This window comes from Homo sapiens, chromosome 1 (assembly GCF_000001405.40).
Source record: "Homo sapiens chromosome 1, GRCh38.p14 Primary Assembly".
Taxonomy (NCBI): Eukaryota; Metazoa; Chordata; class Mammalia; order Primates; family Hominidae; genus Homo; species Homo sapiens.
In genome coordinates, this window is record NC_000001.11 from 210,021,513 (window position 1) to 210,046,150 (window position 24,638).

Here is a 24,638-nt window from a genome sequence, read left to right on the forward strand (position 1 = left end):
ATGCTTAGCAAGCATGATATGAAAGATGTGAATCTGCTGTTCTCTCAGATGGAATTGGTTTCTCTATACCTGTTATAGGAACTGATAGAGTTTAAGTCTCTCACGGTGTTGAATATGATTCCAGTGTGTAAATGTATACTGTCTCATTCAATATGGCTCCTAAACACCAGCCAAATGTTGCACATGGCAGACAGCGGAAGAAATGGTAATCTGTTTTGTGCAGAAGGGAAAACTGTCTGAGATGAATTTATTGAGAGCTAGTACTATATTATACCATTCTTTAAAGGCAATTTAAGGTATTTTCAAGGATTTCAGTAATTTGAAGGATTATTTGTCTCTAACTGATTTTGTGTTATGTGCTGAAATTGACTTTAGAACTCAACCTATATAGAAGATGTCAGTCCACTTATTCATGTTTTTACGTCTTTCTGTGACATAAATAAGACAGATTTTGCCATTAATTAAAGCATATTTATTTCCACATTTAAATAAATTATTCACTTGCTTAATAGAATGTATGGCTACTCATCATGATTATTATCTTTATACCCAGATATGAGGGACAGAATAATATATCCTAGATATCATTTTTATCATTATACATAAACACAAGCTATCCTTGATTTTGTAGCTGTGACTTAATGTTTTAGGGCCTATTACTATTGATGACTTAAAGTTTTATCCCAGCATGTACAGTTGTCAAAGGGGGTAAATCACCTATTGCTGTATTTGGCTTCATGCCAACTAAAGATTAGTGCACCTCAATTCTTATGTCTGCTAGTACACAGATATAATAATAAATTAATCAAATACTGAATGATTACTATATGGTCATTATGAGATTCAAGGGAAGAAGTAAAAAATATCTGACAGGTACTCTACCCTCAAAAATACATTTTAGTACTAGGGAAAATAAGACATGTGCTTACTAAGTTAATTAAATAATACAAAGCAGTAAAACCAGTCCCCAAGTTATGTACACCCCTGGTACATGAATAGTAGAGCAGGAAGAGAATGTGTTTTGAGATCTGGTCCTTGTTAACATTCTGGCCATATCTCTTAATATATTAGCTGTGAAACCTTTGGCAATATAGTTCATTGTTTTTAGATTTCTTTCATTGTCTGTAAAATATGAATAAAACTGAACTGGCAGGGTTGCCATGAAAATTAAATGATATATGTGGTACAGTTTTTAGCATAGTGTCCGATAGCTAATAGGTAAGTGATCAGTAAATGTAGCCAATTATAATGGTAGTGAAAAGAGTGACGGTCATGAGCAAGCCCTGAGTGTGCATTCCCTTTTTGCAGGTACGTTTCGGATTTATTTTCTATTCATTTCTCTTTCCTCTCACCCCAACTCCCCTCTGCTGTCTTGAGCACTTCTCGGTAGTTCTGTTAGTCTAGCCTGACTTTATAGCCTATGGAAAGAGCAGTGAGGAGAGAGGTACACAATCTAGGTGCTTCTACTATTCTTGCCCTAACCTCTGCAAGTGGTCCAAGTGCCCCAGAATCACCTTCTCATTTTATTTTACCCATATATTTAGGACCTATCCTGTACTTTTTTACACATTTCTACCCTCAATTATTTGATGAAACACTTAATTTTAGGCATTCTGAGATTATATTTATTTATTTTGTAAACACAAAAAGCTTTCGTGAACGCTTTTTAGCAGTCATACACTGCTAGATACTGTGGATATGAAGATCATAAGCTTGTTTATCTCAAAAAACCTACTGACTGGAGGAGGAAAATCAGTGAGTATATACGTAATATGATGAGAGGTCTGTTAGTCACATGAACAAAGTGCAGTAGAAATATAGAGGAAATTAAAAAAAGACAAACTTTCTTGAGATGGAGTCTGACTCTGTTGCCCAGGCTGGAGTGCAGTGGCACGATCTTGGCTCACTGCAACCTCTGCCTCTTGGGTTCAAGAGATTCTCCTGCCTCAGCCTCCCGAGTAGCTGGGATTACAGGCGCCTGCCACCATGCCCAGCTAATTTTTGTATTTTTAGTAGACACGGGGCTTCACCATATTGGCCAGGCTGGTCTCGAACTTCTGACCTTGTGATCTGCCCGCCTCGGCCTCCCAAAGTGCTGGGATTACAGGCATGAGCCACCGTGCCCAGCTGACAAAACTTTAAAAATCAAAAATAAAAAAAGATACAGAGAGTAGGAGGTGATTTCGATTTTGGGAAGTAGGAATCTGAGGAAGTCTAATGGGGTCTAGGTGAGTTAGACTTGAGTGAGAATTATTTCAACAAGCATGGAATAGGGCTTTCATGCAATCATGAATCCAAAAGAAAGTGTATTTCAGTGCCTGTAACTTGGGATCTTTGTTTGAAGAAGGGGATTGCCTTGCTCAGTAGTTTTTAAGCAGGAGAGTGTGATAAAATGTAGCGAATATTTCAGGGATAGAGAGAAATCCACTTGACTCCAACATAGGTGCATTTATACACATACTATCTGTATACATTAATCAAGGTTTTTAAGCAGGAGAGTGTGATAAAATGTAGAGAATGTTTCAGGGATGGAGAGAAATCCACTTGGCTCCAACATAGGTGCGTCTATACATATACATCTGAGGGAATAGAAGATAAAATTGAAAGGAGAGATGAAGTCTAAGGCCTGGAGTGCCCCCTGACTAGGAAGATAGGGTTTAATTTGTTTGCCAGTGAGAATTTGCTGAAAAGTTTTTTACTAAGGAACCATAATCAGGGTTGTGCTTTAGAAAGATTAATTTAGCAGCAAGCAGACTATCAGAAAAGATATCAGTTAAGGAGATCTTTGGGGTAGTATATGTGGAAAATGATAAAAGTCTGAATTACAGTAGTGGCAATAGAAATAAAGGAAGATAGGAGAGAGATTATTGAGGTAGAACTTACTGGATTTAGGAACTGAATGTGTTTGGAACATTTGGAAGAAGAAAGGAAGCATCAGAGATGACTGATTTCCTCATGTATGATGAGGAGAATGATGATGTCATTAATATAAATATGAAATCCAGAGAGGGACCTGTGTTTGGTTGGAAGTGAGCAGTGAATAAGAGATATAATAAGTGATTTTACATATGTGATGAGGCAGGATATTTAAGCAGTTGGAAAGGGCTGTCAAGCTTGTAATCATGAATGCGTTTCAGGGAGAAGTTTTCAGATCGTATATGCTTAGAGAATAGAAACTATGGGCATGAATTAAATTGATGAAGGAGAATGTGTGGAGAGAAAAGATCAGAGAATCATTTCCTTTGACAGGAGAATTAAGGGCATCATGTAAAGACACAAAGAAACAGTAAGAGATAAAGAGGAGAATCAGGAAAATGTTATATTTTATCAGCCATGGAAGAAAAGTTTTAGAAGAAGAAGGAAGGCAGCGTGGTTGGGGAGAATGATAATTCAGATAAACCCCTTTGTCCAGTAGAAGTTGAGCAATCATTTTCAATTAGAGTTTTAGGAGAGTAATAAGGAAGTCAGATTGAATGTTGTTAAGGAGAGTATAAGTGGTAAGGAAGTATACATTTGCCGCCTTCACTTTCTTAGCATCTATTCTCTCCTTATCAACTTTGAGAGTCAGAGAGGTAGTTGGGGGGTTTTGTTTGTAACCCAACTGTTCACCTTCTTCCTGCCACCCACTGATACTCTCCTCTGGTATATATTTGGGAAGGAAGGGGATTTGCGTCTCCACCTGGTGGTTGCCCCTTGGCAAAGCTGCGTCTGCAGAAACTGCTGCTTTGTGGCTGATCACCCACCTAAGAGAACTGCTGGGCACAGTTCTCTTGGTAGGACTTCATTCATTTTCCTGTGTGAATAGAAAATAAATGACACACAAGGAAAGAGATGAATAGAGTAAGTTACACTTCTTATTGCTGTGACCCTTTGGTCTGCATGTGACCATCACACAAGTTTACAAAGGTTAAACTTGACTAATGTGAGTTAACTAAAGGGAATCACAAGGTAGAAGGAAAAATATTTTAAAATATACAGTTTTTACATGGCATAATATTTACCTCATTAATGCTAATAAGGAACCTTTAGTGTATTTCTCAACAGCCTGAGTAATTCCAGTTGAGAAGCTTTGGAACAGCCAAAGCTTCTCTACTCCTACAAATCTGCAGGAGTAGAGAAGATTAGAGAGGACCTGAAGAGGTATTAGGAGAGACCAGTGCAAGAGAACTTTTACCAGGTAGCGAGTACTGCCATTTATTGAGTTCCTACTACGTGCCTCAGTCTGTTTCTGTTATGCTGTCATATTTAATTTTCATTGCCATGTATTGTGGTAGGTAAGATTCTACAGAATTTAAGTGACTTTAAGTTGATTTTTTTAACCCAAAGTCACACAGCAAGATAAAAACTATACTTGTCAAGTTGACAGCGAAATTAATGTTATTTGGCTTTCATTAGGTCATCACTGCTACTTTAGTAGTCTCCCTAAGTCTATTTCATACAAGATGAATCCCTTCAGTTGGTCCTTTAGAGCAGGTTATATGTTATAAATCTGAAATACACATATTCTAGAAAAAGTAGGAAAATGTAATGGCATATTTGTTGATCATGTTTTCTCCTCTAGGTGGCCATATTAATCTTCTGGGTTTTTTTTTGGAACTACAAAAGGGATGATATCTGTAAGAAATTTTTCTAGAAAAAAGAAACATTAAAATAATTTATTAAATCCTTTTGTTCACAGTTTTAATTTATTTTTACTGTGTTGTGCTTAAAATTAAGGGCATTTTCTGATAAACCTCTCTTATTTTTAAAAAGGTCAGTGTCAAAATATGGTTCGTGGATATCCCATTTAATTGATGAGCTAGACCAACCTCTGAAATTTCACTCATGCTAATTAATACTTTCTATTTTTATATTAGGAGAAGCTTATTAAAGATGATTCTATATGAAGATCAAGTTCAGTGTAAAATTACTAGAATGTCTTTTGTTATTGATAGCTTTTTATTATTAGTTTACCATAGAGATTACGTAGCTATACTTATGTATTATGGAAAGCTGTATTATTAAATTTACATTATTTATTTTGGGAGCAAGTTAATGTAAAACCCACTGAAAAATAATTTTCAGCATCACTTATGTCTTAGGGTATATAGCTTACACACACACACACACACACACACACACACACACACACTCACCCCTACTTGTCATTCTCTTTCTGTTATAGCTATATCACAAACTTCATTCTATTAATTTTGTTATCTTAAAATTAGGACTACCAAAATACATTTATTTATTCCTTTTATTTATATTTTGCTTTTATAATAATTTAATATTTAAGAGTAATAGATTGTTTATATTTCCTTTAAGTCCATTTTAACTGTTATATTAAAAATTGTTTTATTAATTTTCGTAATTTCTTTGCAAAGTGGAAAAGTACTAAAAATTCTCTCTGTATTTTCCAGAATTCTTTGATATAAAAATAGTGTAGTGACTTTGCATAGTTAAAGTTAGGTATATTACATTTGACTCTTGAATAACCCAGGAGTTAGAGGCACTGATCCCCCCATTCAGTCAGAAATTCACATATAATTTTTGATTCACCAGAAACTTAACTACTGATAGCCAGCTGTTGACTGGAAGCCTTTATTGATAATATTAAGTCAATTAATGCATATTTTTAATTTTATCTGTATTTATGCTGTATTATTACAGTAAAGTAAGCTAGAAAAAAGAAAATGTTATTAAGAAAATTATAAGGGGACTTGGGCGCAGTGGCTCATGCCTATAATGTCTCTACAAAAAATTTTGAAAAACTAGCCGAGCCTAGTGGCCCATGCCTGTAACCTTAATTTCTCAGGATGCCAAGTCGGGAGGACCACTTAAGCCCAGGAGTTTGAGGTTGCAGTGAACTGTGATCATGCAACTACACTCCAGCATAGGCAACAGAGTGAGACCCTGTTCCCAAAAAAAAAAAAAGTCATAAGGAAAAGAAAATAAATTTACTGTTCATTAAGTGGACATGGATTATCAAAAAGGTCTTCATTCTTGTCTTCATGTTGAGTAGGCTGAGGAGGAAGAGGAGGGGTTGGTCTTGCTGTCTCATCCATCCCAGAGATGGATGAAAATCTATTCATAACTACACTCGCACAGTTCAAACTCCTGTTGTTCAAGGGTCAACCATACATGTTTATTTAGATTTTGGGTAAGCTTTTTTCTTAATTTCAGATTTTTGTTTATGAACATCTCTCCTCTAAGGAATTCTTTATCGTGTGTATTATTTTTAAAATATGGCCAATTTGAAGGGGAAATAATCTTGACTCTTTTTACTGCATCTTTGGTGTTTTGGAGATCTTTTTATGTGATGGGATTAATTCCTCCCAATAGTGTAGAATTTTATTTTATTTTTTACATCTACAGTATTTTTCCCTTTTTATTCCTTATTGTGATAAGATATATACATCACAAAACATCACTTTAATAATGTTTAAATGTACAGTTCAATGTCATTAAGTGTATTCACATTGTTGTACAACCATCACCACTATTCCATCTCTAGGATTTTTTCATCATCCTAAACAGAAACTTTATACCCATTAAAAAATAAGTCTTTATTCTGTCATCCCAGCCTCTGATAACCAATATTCTACTTTCTGTCTCTATGAACTTGACTACTCTGGGTAGATCATATAAGTGGAATCATACTGTATTTGTCCTTTTTTTGTCTCGCTTATTTTAGTCAGCATGATGTCATCAAGATTCATCCATGTTGTAGCATGTATCAGAATTTTATTCCTTTTTTTTCTTCAATTTTAAAATTGTGGTAAAATACACATAACATAAAATTTACCATCTCAACCATTTTTAAGTGTGCAGCTCAATAGTTTTCAATTCTATTGTTGTGCACCATCACCACTATCCATCTCTAGAACTCTTTTCATCTTGCAAAGCTGAACTCCATACCCATTAAACAACTCCATTCCCCCTTCCCCCAACCCTGGCAGCCACCATTCTACTTTTTGCCCCTGTGATTTTAACTACTCTAAGTACCTCATATAAATGGAATCATACCCTATTTGTCTTTTTGTGACCAACTTATTTCACTTAGCATAATGTCCCCAGTTTCGTCTGTGTTACAGCATGTATCAGAATATTCTTCCTTTTTAAAGCTGAATAATACTCTGTTTTGTGCATGTGCCATACTTTGCTTAACCATTTATCCATTGGGGGACACTTGAATTGCTTCTGTGTTTTAGCTGTTGTGAATAATGCTGCTATGCACATGGGTGTACAAATATCTCTTTGAAACTCTTCTTTCAGTTCTTTTGAGTATGGACCCAGAAATGAAATTGGTGGCTCTATGGCAATTCTATTTTTAATTTTTTGAGGAACTGCCCTACTGTTTTCCACAGTGACTATACTATTTTACATTTCCTCCAGTAGTGTACAAGCGTTCCAATTTCTCTGCCTCCTAACCAACACTTATTATTGTCTGTTTTTCCAAAATAATAGCCATTCTAATAGGTATGAGGTGATATCTTACTGTAGTTTTGATTTGCATCTCCTTAATTATTAGCGACACTGAACATCATTTCATGTGCTTATTGGCTATTTGTATATCTTTTTTGGAGAAATGTCCAAATCTTTTGCCCATTTTGGAATTGCATTGTTTGTTGGTTGGTTGTTGAGTTTTAGGAATTCTCCATATATTTTGGATATTAATCTCTTATCAGATATATGGTTTGCAAATATTTTTTCCCATTTTGGGATGGCATTTTTTACTCTATTGATAGTATCTTTTGATAGACAAAATGTTTTAATTTTCATGAAATCCACTTTTTGTATTTTTTGTTGTTTTCTGTGCCTTTGATGTCATATCCAAGAAATCTGCCAAATCCAATGTTGTGAGGCTTTTTCCCTATGTTTTCTTCTAAGAGTTTCGTAGTTTTAAGTCTTATCGTTATGATGTGATCCATTTTGAGTTAATTTTTATATACGATATTCGGCAAGGGTTCATTTTCATTCTTTTACATTTGGATATCCAGTTTTCCCAGAACATTTGTTAAAAAGGCTCTTCTACATTGTGTGGTCTTGGTCCCCTGTCAAAAATCATTTGACCATATATGCAAGGTTTTATTTCAGGACTCTCTGTTTCATTCCATTGGTCTATATGTTTGTCTTTAGCCAGTACAACAGTGTTTTGATTACTGTAGCTTTATAGTACATTTTGAAATCAAGAAGTTTGAGTCCTCCAGCTATGTTTCTCTTTTTCAGAATTGGGATCTCTTTGAGATTCCATATGAATTTTAGGAGGTTTTTCTATTTCTGCAAGAAATGTCATTGGAATTTTGTGGAGGTGGCATTAAATCTGTAAATCACTTTTGGTATTATTGACATGTTAACATTAAGTTTTCTAAGCATCAACATAGTGTGCCTTCTCATTTATTTATTTATGTCTTTAATTTCTTTTGGAAATGTTTTACAGTTTTCACCGTACAAGTCTTTCACCTCCTTAGTTAAGTTTGTTCCTAAGTATTTTATTCCTTTTGATGTAATCGCAAATGGAATTGTTTTCTTAGAAATTTCTTTTTCAGATTGTTCATTATTAGTGTATAGAGATGCAGCTGGTTTTTTTAGTGTTGACTTTGAATCCTGCTACTTTGCTGGATTTGTTTATTAGTTTTTTTTGTTTTTGTTTTTGTTTTTGTTTTTAATGGAGTCTCGCTCTATTGCCCAGGCTGGAGTGCAGTGGTGTGATCTTGGCTCACTGCAGCCTCTGCCTCCTGAGTTCAAGTGATTTTCCTTCCTCAGCCTCCCGAGTAGCTGGGATTACAGTTTCCTGCCACCATGCCCATGCCCATGCCCAGCTAATCTTTGTATTTTTACTAGTGATGGGGTTTCACCTTGTTGGCCAGGCTGATCTTTAACTCCTGACCTTAAGTGATCTGCCTGCCTCAGCTGCCCAAAGTGCTGAGATTATAGGTGTGAGCTACTGCACCTGGTCTGATTTGTTTATTAGTTCTAGCAGTTTTTTCTAAGGTGGAATCTTTAGGATTTTCTGCATAGAAGATCATATAATCTGTGAGCAGAGATAATTTTTTCCTTTTCACTTTGGACACCTTTTATTTCTTTTTCTTGCCTAATTGCTCTGGCTAGGACTTTCAGTACTATTTTGAGTTGAAGTGGTGAAAGTAGGCATGCTTGGCTTTTCCTTGATCTTAGAGGATAAGGTTTCAGTCTTTTATCATTGAGTATGATGAGGTGAGGAGTGTTTTAGGAAAGCATGTCAACTTTCTCTGTTGTTGGGATTCATGCATGTCTGTGTGTGGCTGTTGCACAGGGAGGAGCGTCTGAGAGAAGATCACTCACAAGAACAGTTTCTTGAGAGAGGTTTAGGAACCAGACATGGTGAACTTGGCTCAGTAATAAAACTAATTAGTATGGGAAGGCAGTGTTTTGTTTGTTTTGTTTTGTTTTGTTTTGTTTTGTTTTGTTGAGACAGGTTCTCACTCATTTGCCCAGGCTGGAGTGCAGTGGCACAATGATGGCTCACTGCAACCTTGACCTCCTGGGCTCAAGCAATCTTCCACCTTGGTCTCCTGAGTAACTAGGACTACAGGCGTGCACCACCATGCCTGTCTTTTTTTTTTTTTTTTTTTTTGGTAGAGATTGGGGGTTTCTCCACGTTGCCCAGGATGGGGCAGTTTTCAATATAGCTTGCTATCTGTATCTGTTGATAGTATCATATGGTTTTTCTTCTTCAGCCATATGTGATGGATAGATTACATTCATTCATTTTCAGATGTTGAACCAGCCTGGCATACCTGGAATAAAACCCAGTTGGTTGTGGTTTTTATTCATTATTGGACTTGATTTGCTAATGATTTGTTTGGGATTTTTGAATCTTTCTTCATGGAGATATTGGTCTGTAGTTTTCTTTTCTTGTAATGTCTTTGGTATTAGGGTGATGCTGGCCTCATAGGATGAGTTAGGAAATATTCACTCTACTTCTCTCTTCTGAAAGAGAGTGTACAGAATTGAAGTAATTTTTCTCATAAATGCTTGGTAGAATTTACCACTGAATCCAAAATTTCTGCTTTGGAAAGTTATTAATAATTGATGCAATTTTTAAATAGATACATACCTATTCAGGTCGTCTGTTTCTTCTTGTGTGAGTTTTGGAATATTGTGTGTTTTAATGAATTGGTTTATTTCACCTAGGTCATCAAATTTGTAGGCATAGAGTTGTTTATAATATTCCTTTGTTATCCTTTAATATCATTGTGGCCAGTTGTGGTGGAGATTGCTATCTCTTTCTCAGGTTGTTTTCTTGTTATAGCTTTTACCTGATTAATGCCTGAGTTTTGTGAAGAGCAAGGGGGCCATTGTAAGACCTCAAAAACCTGTTTTAATAAATCCTGTAATGCCCACCTATTGTTGTTTAGGGATTTTTTCTAAAAGAAGGTAACAAGAAGGAGGGGAATTTATTCTTTCTCTCTTTGCTATGGACTACTATGCACTTTAGCATCTTCAGGACAAATAAGGGACAACTAGCAGAGAATGACTATGCCCGGAAGTAGAACAGGAAAGTAATACCTGGTGGAGCATTTAAATGCCATGGCAGAGTTAAGTATCTTCCTTTTTTCTCTTCTTCATATGGTGATTTTTTTTTCACAGAGAAGGATATCATTGGAATCAACTGAAGATGCTAGATTAAGAAAGATTAAGTACACTGCCATCTAACTCAGATATTTTTGTATAGTACCGACATAACAGAATGGTATCAATGCAGTTGAATTTCAGTAGCATACCAGCTGCTTCCATAGCCTTAGGAAAAATAATTAAATAAGCAGTGTTTTCTACCAGTTCTTCCTACTTTGGTCTCTTGTATTACCTTTTTATCACCATCTTTTACCTTTAGATTGCCCTAAGCACTTCATCAGGTTTGTCCCACACCAGGTATCTCTTACTCTCAAATCATGTTTTCCTCTCTTGCCAGTAGAAAGATTCTTTACCACTAGAAGTTTCCAAGTTATCATTTATTTCCTTTCTAAAAATGGAAGTAAAAAGGGGGAGCAGAGGAAAACCTAGCTTGAGTTAGAGTATTAAACCATGTGAAATCATACTTGTTTGTTTATGATATTAACTCCTCATACCTGCTTCTTTCATTTTTTCATTAAAGTGACTCTGACTCTAGTACCCAGTAAAAAAAAAAAACCCATCATTGAGAAGTAGAGTGTAAATATTAATAGTTACAAATAAATACTGTAGCAGAAGAATATATCAATTCTGTTTTTTTATTTAAATACTTACTATGAAGACAATAATTAGAAACTGATTAATTTAGCTATACTGTTCTCCTAGTTTACTCTTCCATGTTTTCCATTCTACTAATTGTGATAGAAGCGTACCTATACGTTTGCACTATTTATTTAAGTATTCTCAATTTGTTCATAGTACTCCCCAAATTATTGCATTTTCAATTTTTTTTTTGCCTTAAAACTGAGTTTTAATACGGGACAGGATCATTCAGATATTCTTTCTTTCCAGTTACTGCTGTCGTACAAACTAGAATAAGAATTAGGGGAGACAAAAAAAGTAGAAGTCAGTTATAATAGCAAAAACCTACACTGAAATGTTCAGATGATAATGTCAGAAGAACATGTCCTGTCTGTCCTCTCTTGAGGCAGATATTAATCATGGTTTGAGTTTTGAGAAGCAAAAAGAAAAGAGACCTGACTGAATGCAAATTTTATTGGACAATAGGGATAGACCATGAGAGTTGAGTTAAAGATATAAGTATATAAATTATACATTATGGTAATATGTTTCTCTGGCTTCATTCATGTTAAATAATTACAGAGCCATTTTAAAGAGGTAAATATCAACTGAATATCATTAGTTTTGGGTGAAATGGAATTGAGGTTCTATTTATTTTAATGTGTAATTCTGAAAAATCTTTCGTCTAAGCAGTCTTCATGTGGAGCTCTCTTTTTGAGATTTCCTACCTTTGAGAAATAAATTACATTGAAATCTTTGATGTGTGAGTCAAAAATTACCTTGAGAATATGAGGTGTTTTGACGCCTTAGAATATCTCTTTCATTTTGCTTGATATGTACTCATAAGGGTAAAGATTTTCCTAGAAGATCAGATTATATTTCAGTCTGAGTTGTTGAAATGCCATCCACCAAAAGTAAGATCATTTAAATGGATTTTGAGTCTCAGTAAGGCAGTTATTTACTATCCAGATAGTTATGAAAAAAGCTTTTAGCTTTTTATAATTTAACCAATCTTTTAGTCATTGTGCCTTGATTTTAGTAGGTAAGTGAAAAACGTATCATGGGATTTTGGTCATTGGTAACTTTGGAAATGCTTCTTTAAGTATAAATTTAATAAAGCATAACACTTTATAAGGAAAATATTTACACCCTTAAACATTTTTACTTGTTTCTCAAAGAAAGAATATACCCTTAAACTTTTTTATAATTTCATAGTGAACAGCTTTTTAAAGATGATGGATTACAATATTTTGGAAGTCTGAAAAATCTGTATTTTTAGTACACTAATAAAAAGTATAGTTCTGCAAATAACAATAGCTATAATTTATGAATGATTATGTGGTAAACACTATTGTAAACATTTTACATAAATTAACTAATTTAATCTTCATAATAACCGTTAAGAGACAAGTTCTGTTAGTGTCCATATTTTGAAGATGAGGAAACTGAAGCACAATGAGGTTAAGGAACTTAGGTCTAAGGTTAATACAAGTGTATGGCAGGGCCAAAATTTAAACACACAGTGTCTGCCCTCAGAGCTAATGCACCAAACTTCTCCACTGAAATAACTTAGATAACATAATATGAGAAAATGTTCTTTTGTGTAACTGTTACACCCAAGTAAATCTTTATTGCTGCTTTATTTTTATTGTGTAAGTAGTACATGTTCATTATAGAAAAATCAGAAGTTAAATTTTATATAAATATATATACATATATTTTTAAATAGATGTAAGGGGTACAAGTACAGTGTTGTTGCATAGATATATTGCATAGTGGTGAAGCCTGGGCTTTTAGTGTAACCATTACCCAAATAGAGTACATTGTACTCATTAGGCAATTCTCATCCCTCACCCACCCACTTTCCCTCCACTTTTCTGAATCTTCAGTTTCTGTTATTCCACTCTCTATGTCCAATTTCTATGTTCAGTTTCTATTATTACACTCTCTGTGTGTAAATATTACCTAGCTTCCACTTAAAAGTGGGATCATGCAGTATATGACTTTATGCTTCTGAGGTATTTTACTTAAGATAATGGCCTCCAGTTCCATCCATGTTGCTGCAAAAGACATGATTTCAATTTTTTATGGCTGAGTAGTATTCCCTGGTATGTGTAAACCACATTTTCTTTATTCAATCCTCTGTTGATGAACACTTAGGTTGATTCCATATTTTGCTACTGTGAATAGTGCTATGATAAACATAGAAGTGCAGGTATCTTTTTTGATATAATGATTTCTTTTCCTTTAGGTATATACCCCAGTATTGGGATTGCTGGATTGAATGGTAGATCTACTTTTAATTGTTTCAGAAATCTACATACTGTTTTCCTTAGAGGCTGTACTAATTTACATTCTCACCAACAGTATATAAGCATACCCTTTTCTCCACATCCTCGCCAACATGTTATTTTTTGACTTAATAATAGTCATTCTGACTGGTGTCATATGCTTGTTGGCCATTTGCAAAATGTACACCTTCTTTTGCAAAATGTGTATTCATTTCCTTTGCCCACTTTTTAATAGGGTTATTTGAGGGGTTTTGGTTGAGTTGTTTGCATTCCTCGTAGATTCTGGATATTATAACTTGTCTATCAGATGCATAGTTTGGAAATATTTTCTCCCATTTTTCAAGTTGTCTGTTGACTGTGTTGATTGTTTTTTTGCTGTGCAGTTGCCTTTTAGTTTATATAGTCCCATTTGTCTATTTTTGTTTCTGTTGTTTTTGCTTTTGATGTCTTAGTCATGAATTCTTTGTCTAGGCCAATGTCTAGAGGAGTTTTTCCTAGATTTTCTTCTAGAGTTTTTAAAGTTTCCAGACTTGTGTTTAAGTATTTAATCCATCTTGAGATAATTTTTTTATGTCATGAGGGATAGGGGTCCAGTGTCATTCTTCTGCATATAGCAGAGGAATGGAAATCCAATTTTCCTAACACCATTTATGGAATAGTGTGTCATTTCCCCAGTGTATGTTTTGGTTGACTTTGTTAAAGATCAGTTATTTCTGGGTTCTCTGTTCTGTTCCATTCATCTGTAAGTCTATTTTTGTACCAGTACCATGCTGTTTTGGTTATTATAGCCTTACAGTATAATTTGAAGTCAGGTCATGTAATGCTTCTAGCTTTGTTCTTTTGCTTAAGGTTATTTTGGCTATTTGGGCTTCTTGTTGGTTCTATCTGAATTTGGGGATTGTTTTTTCTAATTCCGTGAAAAACGATATTGTTATTTTGTTGGGGATTACACTGAATCTATAGAACACTTTGTGTAGTATGGTCATTTTAATAGTATCAGTTCTTCCAATCCCTGAGCATGGGTTGTCTCTCCATTTGTTGGTATCATTGACGGTTTCTTTCATTAGTGTTTGGTAGTTTTCCTTGTAGAGATCTTTCACCTTCGTGGTTGAATGTAGTACTAGGTGTTTTTTGTTTGTTTGTTTTTGTTTTTGTTTTTGTTTTTTGTAGCTTGTTATAAATGGAATTGCCGTCCTGATTTGGATCTCAGCTTATTGTTGGTGTATAGAAATGCTGCTGATTTCTGCTCATTGATTTTGTATCCTGAAACTTTACTGAATTTATCAGATCTTGAAGTCTTTTGGAGGAGTCTTTAGAGAGATGATTATTTTAGGCATAAGATTATATCATCAGCAAATGGAGATAATTTGACTTACTATTTTCCAGTTTGGATGACCTTTCTTTCTTTCTCTTGCCTGATTGCTCTGCCTAGGACTTCCCAGTACTGTGTTGAATAGGAGTGGAGAAAGTGGGCATCCTTGTCTTGTTCCAGTTCTTAAGGGGGAATGCTTTCTTTTACCTATTCAGTACGATGCTGGCTGTGAGTTCGTTGCATATGGCTTTTATTATTTTGAGATATGTTCCTTCTATATCTGGTTTGTTGAGAGATTTTATCATGAAGAGATGCTGAATTTTATCAAATGCTTTTTCAGCATCTGTTGAGATGATAATATAGTTTTTGTTTTTAATTCTGTTTATGTGGTGAATCTCATTTATTGATTTGCATATGTTGAACTATCCTTATATCCCTGAAATAAATCCCACTTGATCGTGGTGTATTATATTTGTGATGTACTGCTAGGTTCAGTTTGCTAGTACTTTGTTGAAGATTTTTGCATCTGTGGTCATTAGGGATATGGATCTGTAGTTTTCTTTTTTCATTATGTCTTTGGTTGGCTTTGGTGTAAGGGTGATACTGGCTTTGTAGAATGAGTTGGGGAGGATTCCTTTCTTCTTGGTTTTTTGGAAGTTTCAGTAGGATTGGTATCAGTTCTTTGTATGTCTCATAACATTTGGCTGTGAATTTATCTGGTCCTGGGCTTTTTTGTTGTTGTTGGGAGATTTGTTATTATTTGTTCAGTCTCACCACTCATTATTGGTCTGTTCAGAATTTCTGTTTCTTCCTGGTTCAATCTTGGGAGATTGTATGTTTCCAGGAATTTATCCATTTCCTCTAGGTTTTCTAGTATGTAAGTGTAGAGATGTTCATGTAGTCTCTGACAATCCTTTGCATTTCTGTGGTATCACTTATAATGTCTCCTGTTTAAAATTTCTGATTGTGCATATTTGAGTATTCTTTCCTCTTTTGTTTGTCTTGGTAGCAGCCTATCAATTTTGATTATCTTTTCAAAGAACTACGTTTCATTTGCATGATCCTTTGTAATTTTTTGGTCTCAATTTTATTTAGTTCTGCTCTGATCTTTGTTATTTCTTTTCCTCCAGTAATTTTGGGTTTGGTTTTCTCACTCCTTAAAGTGCAACATTAGGTTGGTGATTTGTGATTTTTCTGTTTTTTTTTTTTTTATTGTTGTTGTTGTTAATATAGGTACATAGTGCTATAGACTGCCTCTTAGCATTGCTTTTGCTGTATCTCAGAGGTTTTGGTATGTTGTATCTCCATTTTCATTCATTTCAGAAATATTTTAAATTTCTATCTTAATTTTGTCATTGATTCAAAGATCGCTCAGGAGCAATTTGTTTAATTTCCATATATTTGTATAGTTTTGAGCATTCCTCATGGAATCGATTTCTAATTTTATTCCACTCTGGTCGAGGAAGATATTTGATATGATTTTGATTTTTAAAAAATTTATTGAGACTTGTTTTGTGGCCTACTATATGGTCTGTGTTGGAGAATATTCCATGCACTGATGAGAAGAATGTATATTCTGTGGTTGTTGGGTAGAATATTCTGTGAATTTCTGTTAGGTCTATTTAGTCTAAAATCCAATTTAAGTTCAGTGTTTTTCTTTGTTGATTTTCTCTCTCGATGATCTGTCTCATGCTATCAGTGGGATGTTGCAGTCCCCCACTATTATTGTATTGCTGTCTGTCTCAGATCTAGTTATGTTTGTTTTATGAATCTGGGTGCATATAAATTTCGGATTGTTACATCTTGTTGAATTGACCGCTTTATCATTGTATAATGCCCTTCTTTGTCTTCTTTTATTGTTGTTGATTTTAAAGTCTGTTTTATCTGATATAAATGTAGCTATTCCTACTCACTTTTGGCTTCCATTTGAATGGAGTATCTTTTTCCACTTCTTCACCTTCAGCCTACAAGTGTCCTTTCCAGATAGGTGGGTTTCTTGTAAGCAGCATCTGGTTGTGTCATGTTTTTTACAAATCTGTTCTGCCAATGTTTGTCTTTTAAATGGAGTATTTAAGGCATTTATGGTCAAGATTAATATTGATATGTAGGGTTTCTTCTTGTCATAATGTTTACTGTTACCTAGTTACTTTGCAGTCTTATTTGTCTAATTATTTTATAAGATCTATGAGTTTTATACTTTTGTGTGCTTTTATGATGGTGAGTATCAATCTTTCATTTCCATGTTTAGAATTCCCTGGAGTATTTCTTATAGGACTGGTTTAGTGGTGATGAATTCCGTTAGCACTTTCCTGTTTGGGAAAGACTATTCTCTTTCATTTATGAAGCTTATACTAGTAAAATAACAAATTCATGGTTGACAGTTTTGTTTTTAAGTCCGAAAATGGGACCCCACTCTCTTCTTGCTTATACAGTTTCTGCTGGGAAGTCTGCTTTTAGTCTGTTGGGATTTCCTTTATAGGTGTTTAGATGCTATTTTCCTCCCAACACTAGGATTTTTTCCTTCATATTGACTTTAGTCTGATGACTATTTGTCTTGTGAAGTCCTTGCAATGTATTTTCTAGAGTTTTCCGAGTCTCTTGTATCTGGATGTCTGAATCTCTAGCAAGACTAGTGAAGTTTTCCTCAATTTTATCCTCAAATAGATTTTCCAAACTTTTTGCTTTTTCTTTTCCCTCAGGAATACCTATGACTCCTAGGTTCTGGTGTTTTACATAACTTGATACTTCTCAAAGGCTTTGTTCATGTTTTAAATTCTTTTATTTATTTTTGTCTGACTGGATTAATTCAAAAGACATATCTTCAAGCTCTGAGATTCTTTCTTCTGCTTGGTCTAGTCTGTTTTTAAAGCTTTCAGCTATGTTTTATAATTCCTTCAATGAATTTTTCACTTCTTCCAGACTCTTGGGACACTCAGATTGGTGAGACACTGCTGTCTAGCCTGCAGTGTAGCCAAGAGCTATAAAAGATGCCTGCCCTTAGGCTCACTGCCAAAATAGCTGTAGTGCAGAATCTCCTGCCTCAGCCCCAATCAAGATGGATTAAAGACTTAAACGTAAGACCTAAAACCATAAAAGCCCTAGAGGAAAACCTAGGCAATACCATTCAGGACATAGGCATGGGCAAAGATTTCATGACTAAAACACCAAAAGCAATGGCAACAGAAGCCAAAATTGACAAAAGGGATCTAATTAAACTAGAGAGCTTCTTCACAGCAAAAGAAACTGTCATCAGAGTGAACAGGCACCCTACAGGATGGGAGAAAATTTTTGCAATCTGTCCATCTGACAAAGGACTAATATCCAGAATCTACAAAGCACTTAAATTTACAAGAAAAAACAAACAACTTCATCGAAAACTGGGTGAAGGATATGAACAGACACTTCTCAAAAGAAGACATTTATGTGGCCAAAGAACATATGCAAAAAAGCTCATCATCACTCGTTATTAGAGAAATGCAAATCAAAACCACAATGAGATACCATTTCACGCCAGTTAGAATGGTGATCATTGAAAAGTCAGGAAACAACAGATGCTGGAGAGGTTGTGGAGAAGTAGGAACACTTTTACACTGTTGGTGGGAGTGTAAATGCGTTCAACCATTGTGGAAGACAGTGTGGTGATTTCCTCAAGGATGTAGAACCAGAAATACCGTTAGACTCAGCAATCCCATTCCCAAAGGATTATAAATCATTCTACTATAAAGACACATGCACACATATGTTTATTGCAGCACTGTTCACAATAGCAAAGACTTGGAACCAACCCAGATACCCACCAATGATAGACTGGGTTAAGAAAATGTGGCACATATACACCATGGAATACTATGCAGCCATAAAAAGGATGAGTTCATGTCCTTTGCAGGGACATGGATGAAGCTGGAAACCATCATTCTCAGCAAACTAACACAGGAACAGAAAACCAAACACAGCATGTTCTCACTCATAAGTGGGAGTTAAACAATGAGAACACATGGACACAGGGAGGGGAACATCACACACTGGGATCTGTCGGGGGGTGAGGGGCTAGGGGAGGTCTAGCATTAGGAGAAATACCTAATGTAGAAGACGGGTTGATGGATGCAGCACACCACCATGGCACGTGTAAACCTATGCAACCTTCACGTTCTGCACATGTAACCCAGAACTTAAAGTGTAATTTAAAAAAAAAAAAGAAACCAAAGTGATATTAGCTCTACATAGATGTTTATACATTGTTCATTTATACATGTTACATTGTCCTTATAAATAAATGGACGTAGGATCAGACTTTAAAATCTAATCTGTGTGTAACTATAGGAGTTTCTGAACTTAGTAAGAATTAATTCTATGTCTTTATGGTATGCATCTTCCAGCAGCACTGGTTCCTAAAGTCATTTAGTCAGGAATCCCCTGTAGTCAAAATGATCTTTGAAAATTCCTAAATGGGTTTGTGTATGTAACTGTATAATAATTCTAAAGTTTGAAGACTATTTGGTCTTCTAAAAATGAATAAAAATAAGCTCTCAATGCAAACAAATAAATAAATAAAAAGGGGTTCTCTATTTAGGGCCTGTCTCCAGCCCCAGATAGCTGGGCTTCCATGATCTCTGTTCTTCTACGGGAGTGGCCTGCAGTGCAACACCAATATGGTGCCTGTGGTGGCTTCCATTGCCACCTTTAGTTTTTTTCAGAGCCAGTAAAGGCTGCAGTTACCATAAGGAGCTACACAAAGGAAATGTGGGCAGTCAGCAGATGGCCTCAACCTGGGTAGGACAGATGGACATTGAACATTTGCCCACTGGGATGCCGGTGCCAAAGATGTCTCCTCTGATGTTGGGAAAACATGTAAGGATAGGGCCTAGAGAACTGGTGAGTTTAACAGCAGTCCCTACCCAGGGCTCCTGAGGGAGCCAGATAGGAGGCTTTAGGTCAACCCTCTTGAGTCTTTGTGGTGTTCAGCAGGAGGGACTTATGGTGGCTACTTGCTTGGGCACCAAACAGCCTGAAAGAAGGTTTCCAAATGAGGAAATCAAAGCTATACTCATACTGTGTGGCTGAATGTCAGCCCTGAGTTGATCACTGATTTTAATTTGATTATTAGTTAAATAGGTGAAGCCCTATAATTTACAAAAAATTTTCTAAAGGAAGCATGCATGTGGGATGCAGAGGTGAATATATGCAGTACATTAATGCTTAATATTAATAACTGTTACTAGGAGATGTATAGCATACACTAAGTGAAAAAAGCAAAGTGTAGAACAATTCGTATACTATACTACCTTTTATCTAGAAAGGGGGAATATGTTTGTATTTGCTTATTGTTAAAAACAGTAGAAGAAATCATAAACTTAAAAATAAATACTCATGAGGGAGGAAACAAGGTGGAGGAGACAGCAGAGACCCTACTACTTGGGTCTGGTGAGACAGAATACTCTTACAAGTTAGGCAAAGCAACTTTATTACTCACAGATAGGCAGCAGGATAAACAGAAGCCAGGGATCCATGGTGAGCCAGTCCCCCAGGATTTAGGAAAGCTGCCCTAGGTAGATAGAGTCTTGTCTGTGTATGCCTCTTGTTGCAGCACAACTGAGGGACCTCAAAAGCACTCTGCTCTGGGTTTTATATCCCAGCATGACTGGGATCACTGAGCCAAGCGTTGCTTAGTGATAGGAGGAATGAGGAGCCTGGGTTTTTCTGGACAGTTTCTTACCTTAGGATGTTGCATTCTGAGTGCATTCTACAGTTATTCTCACAACTGCAAGCAGGAGAGGCAGGGGAAGGGCTGAGTGGACCAAGGCCATCTGGGGACCTGTCCTCCTGCATGGACAGGGATAGAAACTAGACTTCTGTGACAAACCTTGTTTACATAGTAATAAAGCAAAATTAAATTTACAAACACATTTCCTAAAACCAAAAGCACAGTGAAACAAATGAGCTTAACCCTGTCTTGAATTACTTTAACCATACAGAGAAGGATGTTTAATTAAAAAATAAGTGGAAGTTTCTTTTGCTGTGCAGAAGCTCTTTAATTAGCTCCCATTTGTCAATTTGGCTTTTGTTGCCATTGCTTTTGGTGTTTTAGTCATGAAGTCTTTGTCCATGCCTATGTCCTGAATGGTATTGCCTAGGTTTTCTTCTAGAGTTTTTATGGTTTTAGGTCTTACATTTAAATCTTTAATCCATCTTGAGTTAATTTTTGTATAAGGTGTAAGGAAGGGATACAGTTTCAGTTTTCTGCTTATGGCTAGCCAGTTTTCCCAACACCATTTATTAAATAGGGAATCCTTTCCCCATTGCTTGTTTTTGTCAGGTTTGTCAAAGATCAGATGGTTGTAGATGTATGGCGTGAAGGCCTCTGTTCTGTTCCATTGGTCTATGTATCTGTTTTGGTACCAGTACCATGCTGTTTTGGTTACTGTAGCCTTGTAATATAGTTTGAAGTCAGGTAGCATGATGCCTCCAGCTTTGTTCTTTTTGCTTAGGATTGTCTTGGCTATACAGGCTCTTTTTTGGTTCCATATGAAATTTAAGTAGTTTTTTCTAATTCTGTGAAGAAAGTCAATGATAGCGTGATGAGGATAGCATTGAATCTATCAATTACTTTGGGCAATATGGCCATTTTCACGATATTGATTCTTCCTATCCATGAGCATGGAATGTTTTTCCATTTGTTTGTGTCCTCTTTTATTTCCTTGAGTAGTGGTTTGTAGTTCTCCTTGAAGAGGTCCTTCACATCCCTTGTAAGTTGTATTCCTAGGTATTTTATTCTCTTTGTAGCAGTTGTGAATGGGAGTTCACTCATGATTTGGCTCTCTGCAGGGGCAGATTGTAGAACCTTTTTCAATTCATTTCTTTTATTCTGCTTTCAAAGGATTTGATCCAATACAAAGCATGAAGCTACATGTGGTGTGTACAGAAATGATACCTTTCCATTAAAGGAGAAAGGCTTCAGTAGGTAACCATGGAAACAGCCTAGTATCTGTTCCAATTTCTAAGAGAAAATCTTAGTCTTCTAATGAAAACCTACCAGATAGATATATTTCTACTCCAACTCTCTAGTTCTAACATTCTAAAAAGTTTTGGAATCTTTGTTTTACTGAAAAAAAAAAGTAAAATATGTGTGTAAAAAAAAATAAGTGCAAGTTGGGTTAATTGGAAAATGTTGTTATGGTAATCCAAATGGCATATAGTTGTCTCTACTACCGTGGTAACACTGGGGATAGAAGTAAGAATTTGAAATATATTTTGGAACCAGAATTAACAAGCTTGGATGCAGTATGGGGGCTGACAGAAATTGAGAAATCCAGGATAGATTTCTGGGTTTTTGTTTGAGCAACAAACATAGTATGAGAAAGAGTAGGGTAGGCATAAGGATTTTCTGGACATGTTAGGACTTTGAGATACTCACATAGGATATGAAGTTGGAAGTTCACTGTGAGTCTGTTTACTCAGAGGGAATATCTGGTCTGGAGATAGGAATCTAATTATTATCACAGTATATATGGTATTTAAAACCAGGTACTCTATTTTTATTATATACTACACTGCAGTTGAATCTGTCTCACAGACTATTCCAGATTTTTTATTAGGATAATACCGAGAATTTCTGTAATATGGGCATGGAGTGTATTTTTTCAGAAATCGTTTAAAATATACTTTTGCATTGGTTTCTCAACTTAAAGCAGTTCCCCATTCTTTAGGAACTATCTTTTAATTTCTAGCAGTAGACCCCAGAAGTTATGTCTGTATTTCATGGCCTTATCTCCACTGCTGTAATTGGCTGGTTGGTGCCAATGTCGTAAATAGAAGGTGCATAAACATCTACTTTTGGATCCCTGGAGAAGTCTTGGTTCAAGCACTTTTTGAGGCTTAGTTTTTTAATCATTTACTGGATTGCATGATGCACCTTCCATTTTTCTCATACTTTTATTTCCTTTGTGTTAGAATTCTAGTTCAAGTTGGTTTTGTTTTATTTAGTTTTACTAATACAGAAATAAATGTAAAGACCCTTGTGTTTTACTACCCGGAACTCATAATAAGTTTAGATAATGTTTTGAAATCTCTAGAAATTTCACTTCAACTTTTTACTCCATTTTAAGCCACTGCTGGCATCTTTCCTTTTGTGGAAAGCTTATTCGAAACAGTCTTTTAATGAATCAAAGCCATAGGAATCTTGTTTCAGCATCGAAACTTATTAGGGTGCTTCTGCCAGGCAATGTGATAGATATGTTCTTTCTGGATCTTGTAGTTTTGATATTAAAGCTATCTCGCTCCTTACACATTTTTCTTCCAAGAATAAAAGTATCTCTGAAGATTTCTCTTTTCTTGGAATTTCCAGATAATGATTTGTATTAGGCTCTTCTCATATTACTATAAAGGAATACCTGGGAGTAGGTAATTTATAAAGAAAAGAAGTTCAATTGGCTTACAGCTCTGCAGGCTGTGCAAGCATGGCACCAACATCTGCTCGGCTTCTGCTGAGGCCTCAGGGAGCTTTTACTTACGGTGGAGCATGAAGTGGGAGCAGGCACATCACATGGTGAGAATGGGAGCAAGACAGTGAGTTGGCAGGGATGTCCCAGACTTTTATTACCAAGGGGATGGTACTAAACCATTCATGAAGGATCTGTCCTTATGATCCAGTCACCTTGCATCAGGCCCCACCTTCAACACTGGGAATCACTTTTCAATACGAGATTTGAGGGGGACAGACATCCAAATCATGTTATGATTCTCTTTATTAATAATAATATATCTACTTTCAGAATATTTACAAATTTTCCAGGTATTTAGACTTGAATAGACTCATTTCATTCGGTGCTATACACATTTAGTTCAAAGTTTACAATGTAGAAATTAATTCATCAGTGTAAGTTAGTCAACAAAATATTTTCTTAATGCATTGTAAAACCTTGTCAAACTAAGATCTGTTTATTCATAATAGTGCTAAATACAAAGTAAATGCTTCCCCAAAATTAATTCGATTTGTGTAAAAAATATATGAGATGCTTTGAATGTAGTTAATTTGTAGTTCATTTATTTCAGACCCTTACATTTCAAATTAACACACTTAAAAATTTATAAGTTTAGTACACTTTAATGGAGGACATATTCTTTTTTTGTTGTTGTTTTTGCGTTCAGATAAAATTAACTTTAAATACAGAATAATGCTACTAGCGGTTTTGAAGGAATATTCTTTCCTATAAGATGAAGGCATTGAAAAGAGCCGCCTCCAGCCATTTCTTATCTCTGAATTAATAGTATAGTTACATTAATAAATAAGGACTTTAACCAAATGAAAATGCAACTTCTTATCTTCCTGTACTTTCATTTAGAATAACATTTGGAGATATATTTATCAGAAGTAAATAGGAGACTGTATAAAACCAAATGAAATATTAGTAATAAATGAGTAAAATCATGTTAAAACAAACTATTTTTAAGTCTGTAGGGAAAATTTATGTTTCTATTCTAGGTATAATATTTTTATGTCACTTTAGAACTTCTAAATCTTCAGGAAATTATCGTTATATATTTTCATTAATTCTCAGAAATTTAACAATTTTATTGTATGTTCTGTTTGTCCTTGGAAAATATATTATTTTTGTATCTTGATTATATTTGATATTATAAATCACATAATACAAAGAAAATTACTTTATCTTAATAATTGCTAACACATTGAACACATTTTTCACTAAGTATTTTTAAATTGCTTTATGGAGTTATGTTTTTTCTTTAAAATTTACTCATGGCTGGGTATGGTGGCTCACGCCTATAATCCCAGCACCTTGGGAGGGTGAGGCAGCAGGATC

At 35.3% G+C, this 24,638-nt stretch overlaps 1 protein-coding gene across 17 annotated transcripts in view; it reads left to right on the forward strand.

Moving 5' to 3' along the window:
* SYT14 (synaptotagmin 14) overlaps positions 1-24,638 on the forward strand; it is a 233,173-nt gene that overhangs the window by 83,296 nt on the left and 125,239 nt on the right. The window lies entirely within an intron of this gene.